The sequence below is a fragment of the Homo sapiens genome, chromosome 12 (assembly GCF_000001405.40).
Source record: "Homo sapiens chromosome 12, GRCh38.p14 Primary Assembly".
Classification (NCBI taxonomy): domain Eukaryota; kingdom Metazoa; phylum Chordata; class Mammalia; order Primates; family Hominidae; genus Homo; species Homo sapiens.
Window position 1 is genome coordinate 14,122,317 of NC_000012.12, and position 15,703 is coordinate 14,138,019.

The 15,703-nt window shown below is 40.8% G+C and overlaps 1 annotated feature.

The window, feature by feature from the left end:
• Positions 4,710–5,329: an enhancer, noted in NCBI's record as "NANOG-H3K4me1 hESC enhancer chr12:14279960-14280579 (GRCh37/hg19 assembly coordinates)". NCBI's record gives its function as "activates a minimal SCP1, AML or CMV promoter by ChIP-STARR-seq in naive and primed H9 embryonic stem cells {active_cell/tissue: H9 hESC(naive and primed)}" and the evidence as "EXISTENCE:reporter gene assay evidence [ECO:0000049][PMID:30033119]".

A 15,703-nucleotide genomic window follows, 5' to 3' on the forward strand; every position in this document is an offset into this window, starting at 1 on the left:
AATTTGGAAAGGAAGAATAAAGAATAAATAAATTAACCTGATGCCAATATTTATTATATAGATACAGCCATCAAGATGATGTGGTGTTGGCAGAGAGATAGATGCATAGCTCAGTGGAACAGAATAGAGAACACAGAAATAGACCAAAACAAATATGCCCAGCAGCCTTTTGATAAAGGTGCAAAAGCAATGCAATGGAGGAACGATAGCTTTTTCAACAAGTAGTACTGAAATAATTAGACGTCTATATACAAATACTCATAATAATAATAATCTCCAACTTAAATCTCACTCCTTGTACAAAAATAAACTCAAAATGAATAACAGACTTAAATGCAAAACATAGAACCATAAAACTTCCAGGAAAAAAAAAACAGGAGAAAATCTTGAGAATCTACAACTAGGCAAACAGTTCTTACACTTGACACCAAAAGCACAATCCATAGCAGAATAAATTGATAAATTTGACATCATCAAAACTAAAAACTTTTGCTGTGTAAAAGATCCTGCCAAGAGGATGAAAATACAAGCTATACACTGGAACAAAATATTTGCCAACCGCACATCCAACAGAGGACTAGTATCTAGAATAACATAAAGAACTCTTGAAACTTAAACATGCAAGTACCATATGACCCAAGCAATTACATTCCTGGGTATTTATACTAGAGAAACAACTTATGTTCATACAAAAACTTGTACATGAAAATTTATTGAAGTTTTATTTATAGTAGCCCAAAACTGGAAACAACCCAGATGGCCTTTAATAGGTAAATGGTTAGACAAACTCTTCCGTCCATTCCATGGAATACTACTCAGCAATAAAAAGGAACAAATTATTGGTATACACAATTCTCCAGAGAATGATGCTCAGTGAAAAAAAGCCAATCCCAAATGGTTATACACAATGTTTCCATTTATGTAACATTATTGAAATGACAATATTATAGAAATGGAAAACAAAGTAGTGGCTCCCAGGAATTAAGGAGGGGATGGGGCAGGAGGGAAGTAACTGTGGTAATAAAAGAGCAACATGAAGAATTTGTGATGATGGGCCAGATGCAGTGACTCATGCCTGTAATCCCAGCACTTTGGGAGGCTGAGGTGGGTGGAGTTTGAGACCAGCCTGGCCAACATGGTGAAACGCCGTCTCTACTAAAAACACAAAAATTAGCTGGGCATGGTGGCGCATGTCTGTAATCCCAGCTTTGCGAGAGGCTGAGGTAGGTGAATCGCTTGAACCCAGGATGTAGAGGTTGCAGTGAGCCAAGATCGCACCACTGCACTCCAGCCTAGGCAACAGAGTGAGACTCCATCTCAACAACAACAAAAAAAAGAATTTGTGATGATAAAAATGTTCAGTATCTTGACCATATCAATATCAATATCCTGGTAGTCATAGTGTACTATTCCTTTGTAAAATGTTTCTATTAGGCAAAACTAGGTAAAGTATACATGGGATTTCTCTGTATTATTTCTTACAACTGCATGTGAATCTATTATCTTAAATAAAATAAAAAGTTTAATTTCCTTAAAAAAAAGTATTCAGATATTTGATCTCTAAAGGTCCTTCTAAACCTGATATTCTGACTGTCACCATGATTTATGTGGATGTCTTTATGGTAGTATTCTCCAGAATGTGATCTATGGGACATGAATCCACCTCAAGATCCTGTAAGTTGTCTATGGTTAAAAAGGTTGGTTCTATGGTCAAATATGTGTGAAATGAGTACTAACATAATAAGAAAAAAAAATTAAAACCTGATTAAGAAAAGAAATTAAAACCTAATAACTTTAATCCATCATTTCTAAAACATGGCACAGTGACCCTTTCTCTTTCTTTTTCCTTCTTTTCTTTTTTATTTTTTCTTGGGAACACCTATTAGCATCCTAGCTCATTTGGTCTGCTGTAACAAAATGCCATAGACTGGATAGCTTATAAACAATAGAAATTTTTTTCCTCACAGTTCTGGAAGCTAAGTCCAAGATCAAGGTGCTGGTATATTCAGTGTCTGGTCCAACACCATTTTCTGGTCCATAGATAGCACCTTCTTGCTACGTTCTCACATGGTGTATGGAGTGAGGAATTTCTCTTTGCTTCTCTTATAAGGGCACTAATCCCATTCATGAGGAATCCTCTCTCATGATTCAATCACCTCCCAAAGTCCCCACCTCCTAATACCATCACTTTAGGGATTAGGGTTTCAACATAGGAATTTTGGGGGAATACAAGCATTCAGCCCAGAGCCAGAGCAGCATCTAATGTAATGCTGGCACTCCACAGAACCCAATTTGAAATATGATGTTATTATAAATTAACTTTTTTGACATATGGTGGCAATTTCAAGTTTTCATTTTCAGTCCTCTCAATTCCTCTCCAGCTATGTAACTGTATCCTTGCAATTTCACCTGTCTTCTCTTTGTATTTTTAATTCTTTCTCCTGCGCTGAATTCACAGCTCCCTGAGGGCAAGAACTTTGTCTTCAGAGTCATTCAGACACTTGCTTTGTACCTACTCTGCAGCTCTACAGATACTTTTCTGAGTGTCCAGGCAGTTCTTTTGTGGTTAACCTTCTGAAGTGAACTTCTGTTATTTCTGCCTTACACGAGTGTTCTATCTTCTTTGGGGAAATTGATCTTCTCCCATTTGAATCATGTCATTCTGGTGACTACTCACCACAGACTGTCACCTCCTCAACATGAGACATAACATGGTCAATGATAGTATCCCATTCTCTTTGCCAAAGATTGATTGGTCTCTGATTGATTCAGAGTCACCTAAGATGCAAACCAGGCCAAAGTCTTTTCCTGGAATTTTGCAATCTGAAGTTGGAAGAGAAGAATTCTTACCTCTTGGGTCACAGAAGCTAGAAAAATATAAGTCTGGGGAAAGCCTGTCTGTGGTAAGCAAGGATAAAGCCACTGGGAGACAAGCAGAGTTAAGGAACAGTGTCTTAGTCCATTTGTGTTGCTATAAAGGAATGCCTGAGGCTGGGCAATTTATAAATAAACAAAAGAGATTTATTTGGCACAAGGACCTGCAGACTATACAAAAAGCATGGTGCCAGCATCTGCTTCTAATGAGAGCTTCAAGCTGCTTCCACTCATGGTGAAAGGGGAATGGGAACCAGTGTGTTCAAAGATCACATGGCAAGAGAAGAAGTAAGAGAGAAGGAGAAAGGTGCTATGCTTTTTTTAACAGTGGGTTCCCACAGGAACTAATACAGCAAGAACTCATTACCATGAGGACAGAACCAAGCCATTCATGAAAGATCCACCCCATGACCCAAACACCTCCCATTAGGCTCCCACATCCAACATTGGTCAATGATTGAGGATCAAATTTCAACATAAGATTTGAAAAAGTCGAACGTCAAAACCATAAAATTCTGCCACTAGCGCCCCAAATCTCATGTCCTTCTCACATTTCAAAATAAAGTCATCCCTTCTCAATAGTCCCCAAATGTCTTAACCTGTTCCAGCATCAACTGAGAAGTTCAAAGTCTCCTATAATACTCAAGTTTCTTACAGCTGTGAGCCCTTAACATCAAAAATAAGTTCTTGTGGTGTGTTCCTATAGTCCCAGCTACTTCGGAGGCTGAGGCAGGAGGACCACTTGAGCCCAGGAGTTCTGGGCTGTAGGGCACTATGCCCATCAGTTGTCTTCACTAAGTTCAGCATCAATATGGTGACCTCCTGAGAGGAGGGGACCACCAGGTTGCCTAAGGAGGGGTGAACCAGCCCAGGTCAGAAACAGGGCAGGTCATGCAGTGCTGCAAGTTCAAATATAATTTTAAAAATTATTAAAAGAGGCCAGGTGCAGTGGCTCACACCTGTAATGCTAGCAATTTGGGAGACTGAGGCAGGTGGATTTCCTGAGCTCAGGAGTTTGAAACTCAGGGATACGTGGTGAAACCCCGTCTCTACTAAAATACCAAAAAATTAGCCTGGTGTGGCAGCATGCACCTTTAGTCCCAGCTACTTGGGAAGGTGAGGCAGGAGAATTGCTTGAACCCAGGAGGCAGAGGTTGCAGTGAGCTGAGATCGCACCACTGCACTCCAGCCTAGGCGACAGAGCAAGACCCTGTCTCAAAAAAATAAATAATTAAATAAATAAACACATACATACATACATACATACATAATAAAAAAAGAAACTAAAAATAAACAGAGCAGGTCAAAACTCTTGCACTAATCAGTAGCAGAACTGCACCTGTGAATAGCCACTGCACTCCAGCCTGGGCAATACAGTGAGACCTCATCTCTGAAAAAAACATAAAATAAATAAATAAGTTATTTACTTCCAAGATACAATGATTATACAGGCATTGGGCAAACATTCCCATGACAAAAGGGATAAGCTGGCCAAAAGAAAGGGATAAGCTGGCCAAAAGAAAGGGGTAATAGGCCTCACACAACTCCAAAACCCAGCAGGGCAGATGTTAAATCTTAAAGCTCCAAAATGATCTCCCTTGACTCCATGTCCAGCATCCTGGGCACACTAGTGTGAGGAATGGGTTCCCAAGGCCTTGTGAAGCACTGTCCCCATGGCTTTGCTGGGTGCCGCCTACGTGGCTGCTCACACAGGTCAAAGTCCAATGTCTGTGGGTTTTCCAGGCTGAGATTCCATGCTGCTGCTGGCTCTATAATTCTGGGGTCTAGAGGGTGGCAGCCCTGCCCCCACAGCTTCACTAGACAGTGTGCTCATGGGGACTCTCTATGGGGGCTCAAACCCCACACTTTTGCTCAGCATTGCATTACTAGAGTCTGCAGCAGGCTTCTGCCTGGGCATCCAGGTTTTCCTATATACATCCTCTGAAATCTAGGTAGAAGTTGAGAGCCTCTGCTCTTGAATTCTGCATCCTGCAGAATTAAAAGCATGTGGAAGCCACCAAGCAGTGGCTCAAACAGTACCTGGAGCCATTTGAGTTGTGGCTGGAGCTGTAGTGGCGGGGATTTAGAAAGCAGCATCTGGAGGTGGTACAAGACAGCAGCACTCAAGGCCATTCCCCTAAAACGATTCTGGCCTTGTAGGCCTCTGAGACTGTGATGGGAGGGGCTGCTCTGAGGATCTTTGAAATGCCTTTGGGGGCCTTTTCTCCATTGTCTTAACTATTAATACCTGATTCCCTTTCATCCGTGTTAATCTCTCTAGTAAATGGTTGCTCTGCAGCACCCTTGGATTCCTCTCCTGAAAAGTCTCTTTCCTTCTCTAATACAGGGCTAGGCTGTGAATTTTCCAGATTTTTACACTCTGCTTTCTTTTTAATTATAAATTCCACCTTTAGGTCATTTCCTTCCTCCCATACCTGATATAAGCTGTTAAAAGCAGCCATGCCACTTCTTGAATGCTTTGCTGCTTTGAAATTTCTTCAACCAGACACTCTAGGCTATCACTCTTAAGTCTGGCCTTCCTCAAAGCCTGAGAGCATGGACACAATGCAACCAAATTCTTTGTCATGAAGTAACATGGGTGACCTTGACTCCACTTCCCAGTAAGTTCCTTATTTCTACCGGAGACTTCATCAGCATGACCTTTACTGTTTACATTTTTGTCAGCATTTTGGTCACAACCACCAATAATCTCTAAGAAGTTCCTAACCTTCCTTTATCTTCCTGTCTTCTTCTGAACCCTCCAAAATCATCCAACCTCTGCCTATTACCCAGTTCCAAAGCCAGTTCCACATTTTCAGATATCTGTATAGCAATACCTGACTTCTTGGTACCAATTTTCTGTCTTGGCCCATTTGTGTTGCTGTAAAAGAATACCTGAGTCTGGGTAATTTACAAAGAAAAGAGGTTTATTTGGCTCACAGTTCTGCAGACTGTACAAGAAGCATGGCACCAGCATTTGCTTCTGGTAAGGGCTTCAGTATGCTCTCACTCATGGAAGAAGGCCAAGTGAGCCAGCATGCAGAGATCACCTGGCAAGAGAGAAAATGAGAGAAAGAGGAGGGAGGTGCCAGGCTCTTTTTAACAACCAGCTCTCATGGAACTAATAGCACAAGAACTCACTCATTGCCTTGAGAATGGCACCAAGCCATTCATGAGGGATCCACCCCCATGACCCAAACACCACCATCATTGGGGATCAAGTTTCAACACAAGATTTGAAGGGGCCAAACATTCAAACTATAGCCAAAAGAAAGAGTTCTGATGCTAGTCATTGAATCTCTGGGATCCCTGTGGATAGCTTCACTCCTGGACTTCCTACTTACTTTGGCAAACATATTCCCTTTTTGCTTAGGTGAGTTCAGGTTGGATTTTATTTGCAAATAAAAAAATATTTCTAATGAATACACTCCCATTCAGTTTTTCATTCCTACCTCATCACCCTAATAAGCAGTAAAGATTTGAGCTTGTCCTGCGTCATTTTAACTCATTTGTGTCCATTGAACACATTTTTACATTTTGATTTAAACCTGATTAGCTATTCAAGAACCCCCTGGGCTCTTCATAAATGGGATATAGATGTGTTTTGATGAAAACAAGCCAGGAAAGGTCTTAAGTATGGAGAGATGCCATGTGAGGACACAAGGCAGCCAGCAGGAGAATGAAGACCGTAGAGAGGAAAAGAGATCAAAAGAGATATAGGAAAAAGTGATCTCTAAAATAAACATACGTTAGGTGTTTCAAATGCTGATGGGAGTAAGCCTGCAGTGGTCTACCAGAGGCCTATGATAGCAGGGAGGAGGAAAGGAGAGCAGTGATGGACAGGGAAATTGGGGAAGAAGTGGCTATGACTAACATTTATTCAGTGCCTCACTTGTGCCAGACACTGTGCTGGCTGCTTTGTGCCTATTGTCTCTTAGCAGGCTCAGAAATATTAAATCATTATTAGCCCAAGGTCATAGTGGGTTCCAGATTCAAACATAAGTGTCTCTGCCTCCAAAGCCAGTGCTGTTTACACTATAAAATGGGCCTGTGTCCAGATCCCAGGATGTACAGGTTGGGAGAGGATGGAGCTTGAGGTAAGAGAGGTGCTCTCTTGAGGCAAGAGAACCAGGTCAGCCTCAGAGCAACTTCACAGACTGCAACCTCATGTAGGGCCAACCCTCTTTGCTCTGGAACAGGGAGAGCCCCAGTAGTCTCCCAGTGGGCTCCTGGAGCCTGTGACATTTGAGAACCTGACTGGGGGGAAGGGAGCAAGAAATATTTCTATGAAGCTAGGCTGTCAAAAATTGGAGAGGTGTTCAAGAAAGGTACTACTGTACTTAGAGATGGGTGTGATCCTAATCTTTTCTCTTGGTCCCCAGTGAAAGCCAACTGAACCTAGGCTGTTTGCAGTGGGAGGGAGATGTAAAAGGGAATAGCAATTTCATGAAGACTGGTTGACTCCGGAGGTAAGGAATCTGGTTCCACATTATATAATCTAAAAATGCCCCCACCACCTACCCCCACCCCCACGCACAAGAGAAGGAAAGGGGGAAAAAACATCCCAGAAATCACACAGTCAAGGCAAATGCGGCGAAATGGCTCATTGGTTACTGTGGCAACCGACTCTTCCCTGCTCCGGCTGCTTATCCCACGATCCCTCTGTCACCCTATTTTTAGACTGGAGACAACGAATGAAAACGGCTTTCAAATATTTTTTTTCTTTTCTGTGTGTCTAAGGCATGTATAACCTTTTGAAAAAGACTCAAAAGCCAGAGCTCTAGTGTGAGGCCGGTTCCCTAGTTCTGATATGAGGGATGACCCTCATTTCTCTGAGACCTGGGCCACTGCATGAGGAAGGCGCTGGGTTTCTTACGGGTTAAGTGGCAACAAATGAGGAGGAGAAACCTTGAGCATGTGGCTTAGGCATAAGTAGCCTAGCTACCAAGTAAGGTGGAGAATCTAAGTCACTGAAAATAAACCAAATAACAGGTCTTGAGGAATAAGAGGAGTTTGGAGTTATCTGGTGAGACTGACTGTGTAACTCATCTTACCTCCTTCAGTTTTAATTTTCCTCAACTGTAAAATAAAGGAGATTATGGTCTTTCAGAATTTCAGTGACCTCCAAGACTCTCTAAAGCTCTAAAATCTCTGATCATTATCAGTTTAAATGTCAGTTTCACCAACCTTGCAAAGGAATCAAGTGGTAAGAATCTACTATTGTTCCTGAGAAACAGCCCCAATTGTTAAAATTTTTTTCAGTTGGATATTTGGGAATTGTTATTCTGGACTTTCTCTATCTCCTATTCCAAAGGAAAGATACTGTTTTTAAAAACTGTTTCAGTTGATGAAAATGAGAAATGAAGAAAATGTCAACACCTTTTCTTCATATAAAACACTGAATTAGTGCAACATACACTTGAGATGCTTTTAAGAGAAAGGTGAACTTCTGCAATTCAATGGCAAATAAATTATCAACTGAAATGCAAAGCAATAGGCTTGCTATGTGGCAGAAAATAGAACAGAGTTGGAGGCAGGGAAAAGTTGGAAAATGCTCACCGAAGAAGGAGAAAAATCTAAACCAGATATAAGCCATGTGTTTTATTTAGTTGATTCAGCACAGTGGTGGGAAGGGGGCCCAAGTGTCCCAATAGGGAGGGAGTCCAGTTCTCAGGGGTGTCCTCACCCTGGCCTGGTTCACAGGGCTGAGTGAGAGAGCAGAGGAGGAGTGGTCTTTTTCGTGAGTAGTTGTTGGGGAGATATGGATCTATTTCAGGTCAGCTGAGGTCCCAGAGCAAGGGTTCTCAAAGTCCAGCATGTGGGCACATTACTGAAGTGCTTGTTAAAAATGCAAATTCTCATACACAGCATTGGTTTGTAATAATCTGGTCTTTACACTCTTCACCAAGCTAATCCCTATTTTCTGCTTGGTTTTAGCTTAGATGTCCCTTCCACAAGGAGGCCTTTTTGACTACCCTCACCACTCCCACCTCAGATAGTTTAGGTCTCTTCTCAGGTGATACTATCACATTCTAGTGCTCCTTCTTTTGTAACTTTTATTACACTTGCAACCATTTGCTTAATATCTGTCTTCTATACTGGACTGTAAGGACTGTAAGCTCTATATAAAACATGTGTCACATCTGTCTTGTTCACACTATCTCTACTGACTAACCCAGGGTCTAGCACACAGTAGACACTCAATAAGTATCTGTTCAGTCAATGAACACTGTAAGTTATCACTGTACTGGATTGAATAGTGTCCCTCAGAAATTCAGGTCTGCCCAGAACTCAGAATGGGAGCTTCTTTGGAAACAGGATCTTTGCAGATGTAATTAGTTAAAATGAGGTCCTACTGGATTCGGATGTGTCCTAAATCCAGTGAGCAGAGTCCTTATAAGAAATCTATGTCAACTTGCACGAGGACAAAGACCACATCAGTGACAGAAACAGAGACTGGAGTGATGCAGCCATAAGCAGAGGAACTCCAAGGATTGCTGGCAACCACCAGAAGCTAGGACAGAGGCAAGGACAGAGATTCTCCCTCAGAGTCTTCAGGAGGAACCAACCCTGCCTAGATTTTGGACTTCTGCCTTTTAGAACTCTGATGAGAATATAAAATGCTGTTGCATTAAGTCATCCAGTCTGTGCTGATTTGCTACAGCAGCCCTGGGAAACTAATACAATAGCCTACCCATTCAGAATCACTTTTTTATTCACTTATGATTTCTTTCATTTATTATCATGCTGTCCATGTAGTCCACTTACACCACCAAAATTCTCATATCTCCTGCTCCAATCAGGCATTTAAAAGTAATTGAAACCCAAATTGGCTTTAACAATAAAAGAAACTTATTGCTCATGACCTGGAAAGCACAGAAGTGAGATGGGTTTCACTGATGACGATGAGGAATCAATTTCCTTCCAGTCTCTCTGCTTTGCCTCCCAAAATGTAAGCTTCACCCTAAATTGGCTCCCCTCAACCCACCGTGGTCACAAAATGCCTACTTCCAACTCTCTGGGCTACAATTTTTTCATGTATTGCATTCATTATTGATTTTTGCAGGACAAATTACACCAAACTTAGTATCCTAAAACAACAATAATCATCTGTTGTTTCTTGTAGGCAATGTGTTTATGAAATTCTGGACTGGTTCAGCTGTGGGATTCTGATTAGGCATTCTCATGAGGTTGCAATCAGATATCAGCTGAAGTTGAAGACACTGAAGACCTTTCTAGGAACAGGGGATTCACTTCCAAGGTGGTTCTTTCATGTGGCTGTTAGGCTAATGCTAGCAAACTGGTTTCTGTCTATGTGGGATTCTCCACCAGCTTCAAGGGTCTTTGTGACATGGCAGCTGGCTTTCCCTGGAGCAAGAAACCCAAGACAGCATGAAGAAAATTGCAAATGTCTTTTAGCCTCAGAAGCCATCTGCCATCACTTCCACAGTATTCTCTCTTGCTCACACAGGTCAGCCCTAATTCAGTGTAGGCGGAGACTACACTGAATACCAAGGTCATGAATACCAAGAGACCCTCTTATGAACTGGCTATACCATCTATGTCCTAGAGAAGCAAGTTTGGGTTGCTTCCCGGAGTTAAAAAAAAAAAAAATGAAAACTTCTTTCCCAGAATTTTACAGAAAATGTTCTTCCTGCCAAAAGGGCACCTTTTCAAACTAGAAATTGTAGCTAACGCTTAGGATTGAGCTAAATTAAGCATGAACTACATATCTCACCCTTTGGACTTAGCAGGGCCGAGGGGTACGAATACTTAAATAAAAATCTGGGTAGGTACCAGGAGAAGGGAGAATGTGCTAAGGAGGCAGCCATAACACAGTGTTTACTAAATCTAGTAACTTGACCCCAGGAACTTCTATTTCAGTAAATGCTCTAGTATGCTTGAAGACTTAAAAAAAAAAAAGTTTGAAGATTTTTTTAAAAAATATAACCACATAGCTTTAAAAAATTATATCTTTAAAAACTAACATTAATTCATTATCATCATTAAATATCCAATTAGCATTTAAATGTCCCTAACTACTTGATTGTCCTATAAAATTTTTATATTATTTTGCTTGTTTTTTATTTTAAGTGGGATCCAAACACTGCATTTGGTTAATGTCTCTTAAGTCTCATTTAATGCATTTCTCATACAAATCTTCCTTCATTGCAGTTTATCTTTTGAAGAAACCAGGTCGTTAATCCTGCAAAATTTCTCACAGTCTGGATTTTGCTGATTGCATTCCCTTGGTGTTGTGTAACATGTTCCTCTGTCCTCTGTATTGCCTGTAAACTGACAGTTAGAGCTGGAGGCTTCATCTGATTCAGGCTTCATGCAGGAGTAGGGTGAGGGGGGTTGTCAAGAATATTTTACAGATATATGTATATGGCAATCTGTATTTTAACAAACATACTTTTTTTAAGTAAATTATTTCTTATTATCAACATTCATGGAACTGACATTAGATATCTATATGGAGAGGAGAAAGCTTTAGAGTTTAGAGCCATGACTGTAAAACTCTAATAGACAACAGAGTCAACTGGGAAGACTTATTTAAACAGATTGCGGGCCTCGCCCCTGGAGCTTTTTATTCAGTGAATATGAGATAAGGCCCCAAAATTTGCATTAATAACAAGCTACCAGGCAATGCTGATGCTGCTGTTCTTAGAACCACACTTTGTGAACCTCTCCTTTAGAGCATGGTGGGTCTAACATTTGAGGAAGGCTCTGACACCTGAACACCTGCGATGAAATTCTTCTTTTGCCACATGACAGCTGAACAGGTTTGGGAAACTACGTCAACTCTCTAAACCTCAATTCCCTTATTTGTAAAATGGGGTCAATCATAACACGACCCAGCTTAGATACAGTGGTAAAAGGGTTAAATGAGATACTATACCTTTATCATTGAGCCTTGTCAATAATCAATATTCAACAAATGTGGTGGTAGTTGTTGTAGTAGTAATTATAATTATCAATATTATTATTCGTTTGCTGGTTTTATAATCTACAATCAGGCCATAAGAAATTATTGCACTGCACCAGTTCCAAGGAATCTGTCTGGGACACCTGCAGCCTTGGAGGTAGGAGTTGTTAGTCAAGTTGTGGCTGTGGACTACATCAAAGTGAAAAATAGGAAGGACAATGAGGGAAAGTTCTGTTTCTGTTTAGAGTTAGAGGTATTCTTCCAAATGGGGCATCAAGGAACCGGTCCTTCTACACAAACACCAGGTCTATCATGTGGACAGCTCAGTAACTTTTCCCAATATCATAGATAAAGGGACTCATCTCTCAACCATCAACGGAACAATTTCAACATTGTGCAGGATGTGCAGACACAGACAAGCAGCCAAAAAAGTCAGAAAAAGATAACTAAGAGAAATTTAAAATAAGGGGAGCAACAATAACATAAATTAAATTTAAAATAAGAGGAGCAACAATAATATTTGAAATATTAAGAACATTTCTAATTTGGCTGGGCACAGTGGTGCATGCCTATAGTCCCAGCTACTCCAGAGGCTGAAGCAGCAGGAATCCATGAGCCCAGGAGTCCAAGGCCAGCCTGGGCAACAGAGTAAGACCCCACCTCTAAAAAAAAAAAAAATTAAACTTCACTGGTCATTACAAGTAAATACTAAGGATTCCCTAGGGTGTTGTACCTCTGTAACTTCCTTGGTTCTACCATCACTTGTTTAAATCACCAGCCCAAAGCAAACTAAAGGAGACTCAAGCCAATTTGTAAGAAGATAGTACTGAAGAAGAAAGGAGACAACACAGGCACTGTGATTAAATCTTGAACTGGTCCTAGATTTTTAAAAAGATTGCTGATCCCTAGCAAGGGCAAATAAGATGTCAGAGTAAGAACCACATACATATAGGCATATATATAAAACTGCAGTGGAAACTATTAATGAGGAAATAATACAGAATAATGGCTAAGAATCAGCAGATGTAGGTTTTAATTTTCTTTCTGCCATTCATGTGCTGTGTGACCTTGGAGAAGCTGCACAATCTCTCTGAACATCAATTTCTTCATGATAGTAATTTAATTGTTATTACTATTTTTACTATTATTGTTTCTACAGGAATATTTACGGATCTTATGTCCCACCCAGGGACTCTCATACTGTCACGATTCTTTTTTCTTTTTTTATTTTTTGAGACAGTCTCACTCTGTCACCCAGGCTGGAGTGCAGTGGCACAATCTCAGCTCGCTGCAGCCTCTGCCTCCCAGGTTCAAGCGAGTCTCGTGCCTCAGCCTCTGGAGTAGCTAGGATTACAGGCGTACGCCACCACGTGTGACTAATTTTTGTATTTTTAGTAGAGACGGGGTTTCTCCATGCTGCCCAGGCTGGTCTCTAACTGCTGGCCTCAAGTAATCTGCCCGCCTCAACCTCCCAAAGTGCTGGGATTACAGGTGTGAGTCACCACACCCAGCCACACAATTCTTATCTAAGCTGAATAATATGATTCCTGCTCATTGTGATTGTAGAGAAAGTAAACAGAAGCTTATTGGTTGGAGAAAACACTCTTAGAGCTAGTGATGATAATGAATCTGCCTCAAAGAGGCCATCTGAAGAGAAGGAAGATTGGGTTTGATGGCTTAGGAAACCGCTGTCACAAGCTGCAAAGAGTCAGAAATTTTACCCTGCTTGAAAGCTAACAAGGTAGTCTACAGTTTAATGGACAGAAGATGATGTGTGGATCAAAGACAAAGGACTTTATTCCTCAGTGGGCAACATGAGCATCAGCATATCTACACAGTTTCCCTTGTCCCCAAGTCCAACAGGGGTGACATGACGGGACCCAATAATACCTGCTCACACAATGGGGTGCCTTATAGGAGAGGAGCCCAAGTCCTAGCATCCGGAAATGTTCCCTCAAGCAGCAAACATTGTAGCAAGCAAAAAATAAGTTAGTCCCCCTCCTCCTAGGGCGCAAGCAGTTACAGGGTGGTCACACTGTGGTCAGCTAAACTTGCTTACTTGCCTGTGACTAGCTACAGAACTGTTCAGCATCAGGAGGTAGGTGAGCCATTTTGCAAGAATGTGTAGGAATGCTCAGGGCCCATAGCTAACTGCCTGCCTAATGGGGCACTCACACTTACTGAGTGCCTTCTAAGTACCAGGCAGTCTGTGGGGTGCTTTATTAGTATTTTTGCAGGTATTTTTCCATTTATTCAGAGTTGGAGTGTGGTCCTTCATCAGGATACAAAGTCAAGGTCTTTCAAATGGATCATAAGACATCTACTCACCACATCTCTAAAGTATATGATTATTATTTCAACCCACACAAGATATCTGGAGTTCAGGAGACCTTAATTATGAAGTACCTTTTATAAGTTCCTAACAAAAACCCAGTTCTGACCACTGATGCTTAAGAAAGATAGACTATAGGAATTTTAACTTTTCATTCTTCTTGTTTTTCTTTTAGAATTTCCAAGCTATGTCATGTCACTTCACTGGAAAGTCATATACCTGAATACTGCTCTAGTTCTTTATAGAAATGGCTTCACAAACTATGACTTAATACTATGCCCTCATTTTTCTATCAGAAACTGGTGTAGATAATGCTAAATAAAGAACACCTTGTTTTGTTGAAGATATGTCCACTATGTATACCAACATCTGCAAAGATTTACAACATAATTTTTTTGAATTTAATTCCAGTAAGACATTTGTGCAGTATGTTTACTCATATTAGATATGAGAGCTAGATAACCCAAACTGATTCCCTTGTTTCCCTGGCTCTAAGAAAATCCAGAATTAAGTCTTGGACTTAAAAGTAGACATTTCCTGGCTGGGCGCAGTGGCTCACACCTGTAATCCCAACACTTTGGGAAGCTGAGGTGGATGGATCACCTAAGACCAGGAGTTCAAGACCAGCCTGGCCAACATGACAAAACCCCATTTCTACTAAGAATACAAAAATCAGCCAAGCATAGTGATGGGCACCTGTAATCCCAGCTACTCAGGAGGCTGAAGGAGGAGAATCACTTGAACCCAGGAGGCAGAGACTGCAGTGAGCCCAGATCATGCCACTACACTCCAGCCTGGGTGACAGAGTGAGACCCTGTCTCAAAAAAAAAAAAAAAAAAAAAAAAAGCAAACATTTCCCTTAAACTTGAGTTTTCTGGAATAATTATTCAATGTCCTTCACTGCTTGGCCCTTATGTTTGCATTTTTACTTCAGTGCTCTAAAGAATTATGGTACATTTTCTCAAATAATGTTTTGAAAGTAAACGGAGTAAAAGCAATTAGTCAATGAAGGAACAAAACTACCCAAGTTTTGGGTTATTTCATTTATTATTACTAGTATTTTGCCTAAGTACCCATAAAGCTTTTTAGTTTAAAACATAATCCTCAAATTAGTCTTAGCCTTACAAAATATAAATTGAGCTTCCAAAAGTTAGTTAGCATGCCTTATATTATGAATTTTCCTGACTGTGCTTTTATTAGGGTTTAATCAGAGACTATTGTAAGAATCTCTAATCTGGGTTCTAAGCATTTGACATTATTAAACAGCTAAATGAAAGAGAACAGAAGGGTTGCAAAGTAGAAAATGTATTTTATTTTTAAATTGAACGCCATTATATTTGTAATAACATTGCATGCTAAGAAGCATTAGGCAGCTCTGTCAGTTCCTGCTTCATACAGTCTAAATAAAACTGGAGAGCAATTTCTGAGAAGCCAAGGGGGTGAGGATCTCATGTCTACCCCAGAGCGATTCCCAAGAATAGCAGGTCGGAAGTTCTAAGGTACAAGTGAAAGGCTGTCTGAAGTTCTGTTTGGTTGTTGACCTACTGCTGGCTGCTAGGTTTGCCCAA